General features: G+C 55.7%; 1 long non-coding RNA gene across 1 annotated transcript, besides 1 other annotated feature; it reads left to right on the top strand.

The window, feature by feature from the left end:
• The first annotated feature begins 714 nt into the window (after positions 1-714).
• Positions 715-5462, top strand: LOC124903445 (uncharacterized). Its single transcript, XR_007064503.1, has 4 exons — positions 715-1919; positions 3496-3649; positions 3766-4735; positions 5123-5462. It is a non-coding gene; the product is annotated as an uncharacterized LOC124903445 (long non-coding RNA).
• Positions 3538-3607: a silencer, noted in NCBI's record as "silent region_6256". NCBI's record gives its function as "represses an Ori minimal core promoter by ATAC-STARR-seq in GM12878 lymphoblastoid cells {active_cell/tissue: GM12878}" and the evidence as "EXISTENCE:reporter gene assay evidence [ECO:0000049][PMID:35858748]".

The following is a 7234-nucleotide window of genomic DNA, read 5'->3' as shown; positions in this document are numbered from 1 at the left end:
GCCGCCCGCGCCGCGCCGCGCCCCGGGGCCCGCGCGGGGGAGGCCGGGGGGCGCCGGGGGCCGCGGCCGGGGCGCGCCGGGACCGGGGGCGCGCGGGCCGGGGTCGGGTCCGGGCGAAGGCGCGCGGGCGCCGCGGGCCGGGCGGGCGCCGGGGCGGGGACCGGAGCCGGGCAAGGCTCCCGTCAGGGGCCGGCGGGCGGGCGCGCGCGGGGCGCCGTAGGGGGACCCGCGGCGGCCGGGGGCGACGAGCTGCCTTGGGCCCGCCGCTCACGGGGAGGCGCCTTCCCGAGCCCATGCCCGTGCCCAGCAGCGGCCGGTGAGCGGCAGCGGCGGCGGCTGCTCCTCGTCGTTGTCGTCGTCGTCGCCCGGAAGGCGGCCGCCCCCATCTCCCCCCGCGCCGCAGGGTCTGTCACTGCGGGCCCCAGGCCGGCCGTTACCCAGGGCCGCGGGCGCGGCGTCGCAGCCTAGGGAGCGATGGGGGCCGCGGCCGCGGAACGGGCGCTGGAGGGGGAGGGACGCAAGGCGGCAGTCGCGGAGGGATCCTGCCGGGACTTGCCGGCCTTGCTGCTCCCGCGCGGCGGACGGGCGGCGGACGGGCGGCGGCGGCGACGGCGACGACGGCAGAGCAGGCACCGGCCGAGGAGCAGAGGGATCGTCGCGCTCGCGGCTGACGGGCGGCCGGGACCAGCAGAAGTGGGCGGGGTGGCCGCCTCTCCGGGCAGCCCGGGCCGGCCGGGCCCACCCTCCCCCCTCCCTAGCTGATTGGCTCAGGCGGCCCGTTCTCCGCCCGTGATTGTGCCGGGTCCCCAATCCCATTCGCCCATGCCGCGGCCACGCCGCCCTGGGGGGCTATGGATCATATTGGAGCCACCGCCTCTAGTCTCTCGGCGGCCGTCAGGACGCGATTGGTCCGCGGAGAGCAGAGAGGCGGAAAACCCGGGCTGGATTTCTGGTGGCTTTTGTTCCCGCAAATTTACGTGGAGCATTGTTTTTGGGCGAAAACGGGGCCTTCGGCCTTCCTGCTTTATTCCTGAGCGGTGTAAGAGGGAGGTAGTGGGTATCTTCGAGAAACGGCCGCCGCGGGGTCCGGAGCCCCGGGTTCCAATCCCGGGTCGGCCACTGCTAAGCTGTGTGACCTTGGGTGAGTCACTTGGCCTCTCTGAGCCCCAGGCGCCTCCCCGGGAAAATGAGGGTAATAGTAACCGCTCCCGGGGGTTTGTGCGAAGGTGTTCAGCTCACAGAGGGCCGGCACCGGCACTTTTGAGGCGGCTGACTTGCCCTGGGGGTGTGATGGGAGGTGCAAGCTTTCTCCAAAAGCCTCCTCCAAATGGAGCCTTTAAATCCGCCTTCTTTCCGCGGCTACTCCACCAGCTCGCCAAACCGAGAAAATGCAAACACAGGGGCGGGGGCAAGGGAGCTGACCTGGCTGGAAGTAAACAGAAACGCCACCCCTCCCCTGGCACTTGCATTGGCACCGGAGGATTGCAGGTGGGGGAAGGGCCTCTGCACCCAACCACCTTTAAATCCCACCACTTACACACAGGCAAAGAAGCAGAGCCGTGGCGGCTGGACGCTCATTCCTCCCCTGCCCTTCCCCTAGAGCGCTGCTTTGAATGTCTGTTGATCTAGAACGGGGTCTGTTCATTCATGGGTTCCAGGTCCCAAGCGCCCGGGGGCAGCTGAGAGCAAAGCTGGCGCCCTCCCTACCCCGTGGAGCTCACACTCTGGTTCTGGGCAGTGCACAGTAGAGATTGGTTGAATCAGTGAATGAACTTTTTCAGGATATGATCCAAGGTGCTGAAAACTTCCTAACAAAACTCTTCAGCCGAATCTGGCACGCCTATGGTTCCAGCTACTGGGTAGACTGAGGCAGGAGGATCGCTTGAGGCCAAGAGTTCAAGGCCAACCTGGGCAACATGGTGAGACCCCCCCCTCCCCCCCAGTCTCTCCAAAACAAACAAACCCCACATTCTCCAGTCTTAGGTCTTCAAGGATGAACAGACATTGCAGAAAGGCACGGTTGGGAACAGAAAAAAATGATCTCCACTCCCCCAGCCCCCTCCACACCTTGGGCACATTTCCCTGGAGCCGCCCGAGTGTTCTTTGTCAGTGTAGGAAGAAGCAAAAATCTAAATGGAGTCAGGATGGCCTCCCACATGGGCACAAGGACAAGGCTGGGGACAGTTGGGTCTCCTCATCTTATTTCCCAGGTCTAGGCTGATTTCTATTAATAATTAAATTAATCGTTGTTCTCCTGGACCTCACTTCTTAATGTGATTCCAGGAAACTGGCCACATTCCAAAATTCATAATCTAAGGTAGTGAAATAACGTGAGCATCAAGACAGTTTGGCTGGGCTCAGAGGCTCACATCTGTAATCCCAGTACTTTGGGAGGCCGAGGGTAGATCCCTTGAGCCCAGGAGTTCGAGACCAGCCTGGGCAACATGGCGAAATCCCATCTCTACAAAAAATACAAAAATTAGCCAGATGTGGTGGCATGTGCCTGTAGTCCCAGTTACTTGGGAGACTGCGGTGGAAGGATTGCCTGAGCCCAGGAAAGGGAGGTTGCGGTGAATGGGGATCCCACCACTGCACTCCAGCCTGGGTGACAGCGTAAGACTCTGTCTCAAAAACAAAAGATTCATTTCTTATTGATAAAGCAAGCTCCTTGGAGAAAGATCTTGGAACCTCATTGGGAGTGGAGGTGGGGCTTCTTCAATCCAGCCGAGCTGGCTGTGAAACCCCCAGGGTTTGGTACCAAGTGAGCTCCAGTCCCAGCTGTGGCTGACTGTGTGAACTTGGCTATGCATTCAAGGGCCTCTGAGCCTCAGTTTCCTCATCTGTAGAAGAGAGCCAGGAACCCGTCATCCTGGCTAGCAGTGGAAGTCAAAGGTGCTCATGGAAAGAATGTCCTTGCTGGCTGGAACAAGGGAGGCCTGAGCTGTGGAAGTCCTTGGATCAAGGTCCTCCCCACTTCCCGCTGCCTTTTTGGTCCTTCTTGCGTGCTCTTTGTGATTTAATGGCTTAGTAGGTTGAATCATGTCCCCCCAAAGTTTATCTCTACCCCAAATCTCAGAATGTGACCTTATTTGGAAAAAGAGTCTTTGCAGATAATTAAGGTAAGAGTCAAGATAAAATCACACTGAATTATGGTGAGCCCTACATGCAATGAGACAGTCCTTACAAGATACAGAAAAGAACACATAGAGACTTCGGGGGAAAGGAGACTATGTGCAAGGATGGCAGAGATTGGAGCCGAGGGGTGCCTGGGCCTACCAGAGGCTGCAAGAGACAGGGAGGACCCTCCCCTAGAGCCTCCAGGGGGAACAGCCCTGCCCACACCTTGACTTTGGACTCCTGGCCTCCAGAACTGTGAGAGGGTAAGTTGCTATTGTTTTCACCCCCCCACACCTCACCCTCCCCTCCCGCACTCACACGTGTTGTGGTTATTTGTAGGGCAGCCAGGGAAACCGAAACAATGTCATTTCCCCCCAGAAGTCGGCGTGGCTCAGCTCAGTCCAGTTCACAACAAATATGAAATCCCTGCCCTACAGGACCAGGCCTCAGGAAGGGCTTGGGGGCCTCAGAGGCAAATGAGACCAGGTCCATCAACCATACAGAACTGACAACCTGGACTCCCCACTCTGAAGTAGGCAGACTGCCTGAGGGAGGGGGCCTCCCTCATGGGGAGAGGGCAGGCGCTGACCTCCCGGGCCCTCCAGCATTCTCTGGGTCCTGGCCCCGAGATTCTGGTTTTCCACACAGGGCACCTACTGTCTCACCCTTCCCTGACTCTGCCCGTGCACAAGGTGACCCCGGCTGCAAGCGTGCCAGGAGCTTTTCTCCACCTCTGCCTCAACATCTGCCGCCTCTCCTCCTCTGGAGAGGGAGGCAGCTGAAGGACACCAGCCCCACGCCTTGCTGGAGCAGCTGAGATCGCTGGGAGGAGGTTGGGAGAGGACTCAGGGGCTCAGGCTAGATCAGGAGGGTGTGCCCTGCCTCCTTGTGAGGGGGCCCAGCACCACGGGGAGCCCACAGTGTAGGGTGCTGTTCAGCCAAATTGGTTACCACTGGGTGTGAGGTCTGTGGTTGTGCAGGGTTGAAGGGCTGGGTGTCATTTGCCTCTGAGGCCCCCGAGCCCTTCCTGAGGCCTGGTCCTATAGGTCAAGGATGGGCTATTTGTTGTGAACTGGATTGCGCTGAGAGCCACACTCATGTTTAGGGGGAAATGCCATTGTACTGGTTTCCTGTGACTGCCCTACAAATAACCACAAAGAGGCAAGGGGAGAAGTGGGGCTGTCCCTTCCATAGGGCTGCAGTCAAGCACAAATGACTCTAATGGTATTAATTTTGAGAGAGAGAGAGAGATTTGGAGTTCACCACAAATTCTCCAAACAAACAATTTTACAAGGAGGACATGACCCGCCTGGCATTACTGCTTAGGTCTGAATGAGTGATACTGACTGCAGCAGGTGACCAGGCCAAGCCCAGAAATGGGCCACGGGGACCCCAAGCACATGCTCTTCCCCCAGACTGCCGCCATCTTGCTTTTCCTTCAGACCTAGGACCCTACGAGAGGAGGGATCTGGAGGCCAGGACAGGAGCAGGACAACACAAACAGAGGCCTCAGAAGAAGACTCAGAGTGGGACAGGGGTTCCTTAAGTGACGGGGGCTGGAAGTGCACAGAGAAGCCTGGTGCAGCAGGGAATTTTCTCTCCCTGGGGTGCTGCCAAGGTATGTGTGGTCTCCAGCTGCGACATGTGCTTCCTTCCCTTGGCCTGAGTCCTGCTTTCCTGTGATTGAGAAGGTTTGGGACCTGACACCCTGAGCATGGAGGCCATAAATCCAGTGGATCCCTAAACTTCCTGACGGGGTCCTGGCTCCAGGCCTCGGTTCCTGACAGCCTCGTGTAATTGACAAAACCCCATGGGGCTGTTTCTGATACTGCTATCAAAATTCCCATCATGCAGATACTGAATGGTCAAGGGCTTCGGCCCGTGCCACACAGTTAGTTCATGTTGGAATTGGATTCTGCCCTAAGTCAATTGCCCATATAGACTCTGCCCCTCCCAGGAGGAAACCACAAATGTGACATATTGTTTATTTGCTATTTTTGCAAAGGTGTCTGTTGCTTGCCAGCTTTTCCAGCCATGACTGCAGACAAAGTCCACCTAGAGTCATAAATGGGCAATCAGCCCCGAACAACGTCCAGCCCCGGTTTCTGCACGGCGAGGCGTTTTTGTCCGTGGCAGACCTGCTTACCCGGGTGTCTTTGGTGTGGGGCTAGATGCAGCATTTCCCCAGTGGGAATGGCCTGGGGTCTTATTTAAAGTGGAGGGTCCTAGGCCTGGCCCCACGTATGGAGTCAGGATCCCTAGGGGTAGGACCTTGGAATCCGCATTTTTTTTGAGACAGGGTCTCACTCTGTCACCCAGGCAGTGGCACGATCTCAGCTCTCTGAAACCTCCACCTCCTGGTTCAAGCGATTCTCCTGCCTCGGCCTCCTGAGTAGCTGGTATTACAGGCACGCACCACCATGCCTGGCTAATTTTCTATGTTTTTAGTAGAGATGGGGTTTCATCATGTTGGCCAGGCTGGTCTCCAACTCCTGACCTCAAGCCATACACTGGCCTCGGCCTCCCTAAGTGCTGGGATTACAGGTACGAGCCACCGTGCCTGGCCAGGAATCTGCATTTTTGCTAGTAACCCTGGTCATCTCAGTGCACACCAAAGTTTGAAACCACTGTTGGGGTGTGGAGTTCTTGCTTCCAGACTTCCAGGGCCTATGGATTGAACAACAGCAGCCACAGTAGTAATTAGAATTTTCAGTCTGAACCACAAGCCTGCCATGCAACAAGGGTTTCCTCCCGTTTTACAGATGAGGGACCTGAGGCTTCATAAGGCTGTTATTGACCTGAGGTCGCACAGCTGATGGCTCCTGGGTTCTTAGCGTTAAGTTTTGCAGCCTTATTTCTGTTGTATATTTGTTTCTCATCTTTCTGTGTTTATTGCACTGCAATTGTGATATCCTCTAAAAGCCAAGGATGAACTCACTGCTGACCTTGGTTTTATTCGTTTGTTTATTTTCACCTTTTCTTGTGAAATGTGCAAACATACTCAAAAGTCAAGAGAATCATATGGTGATTTCTCATAGTCCCCTTTGGCCAGCTTCAGCAAAGATGACATTTTGCCACTCTTATTCCATCCATTTCTGTCACGCCACCCCTGACATACACACATGTTCTTTCTGGAGTATTTTCAAGCAAATACAGGATTTTTAAAAACATGTAAATGACTGTGTTGTTTTGTCTGATTATGATGCATTACATGTTCCTTATGAACAGCTTATACCTCAGTAAAAAACAATATAAAAAGCCACAAATCATCTCAATTCCCAGTATGTGCCACACACATATACACACCACATAGCACATACAACACACACACATTTCACACACACCACGTGCCACATACACACCACACACACATATACACACCACATAGCACACACAACACACACACATTTCTCACATGCCACATGCCACACACATGTGCTATGTGGGGTGTATATGTGTGTGGCATGTGCTGTGTATGTGTGGTGTATGTGTTTGTGTGGTATGTGTGTGGCATGTGCTTTGTATGTGTGTGATGTATGTGTTTATGTATCTGTGTGGTATGTGTGTTATGTGTGGTGTGTATATGTATATGTGTGATGTGTGTGGCATGTGCTGTGTGTGTGATGTGTGTTTATGTATGTTTGTGGTATGTGTGGTGTGTGGTGTGCATACATGTGGCATGTGCTGTGTATACGTGCAGGGTGTGGTGTATGTGTGTGGTGTGTGGCATGTGGTGTGTGTGGAGTGTGTGTGTGTTCTATGTGCTATGTGGTGTGTATATGTATGCCTGTGGTATGTGTGGTGTGTGAGGTGTGTGCATGTGTGTGGCATGTGCTGTGTATGTGTGTGTAGTGCGTGTGCTTGTGTTTGCAACACAGACACCCCCACCTGAGTTTGGTGCAAGCAGCACCTTGTAAGAGAGCAATTCTGACAGTCACTGCCACAGTGGCCGCCTTGCCTGGAGCTGGCCAAGTGGAGGCGGAGGCAGGGGCTTAACACCGGGGCTTCCATCATGAGCGAAGCTGGTGCTGGCTGTTATCATTTGCAGGTGAAACAACTGGGGCAGAGCGGTCACTTGCAAAGGACAGCCCGCCAGCCAGGGACAGAGCTAGGGCTC

The sequence above is a fragment of the Homo sapiens genome, chromosome 15, assembly GCF_000001405.40.
Source record: "Homo sapiens chromosome 15, GRCh38.p14 Primary Assembly".
Taxonomy (NCBI): domain Eukaryota; kingdom Metazoa; phylum Chordata; class Mammalia; order Primates; family Hominidae; genus Homo; species Homo sapiens.
Note: the sequence above shows the minus strand (reverse complement) of the source record. Positions and strands in the feature narration are given on the sequence as shown.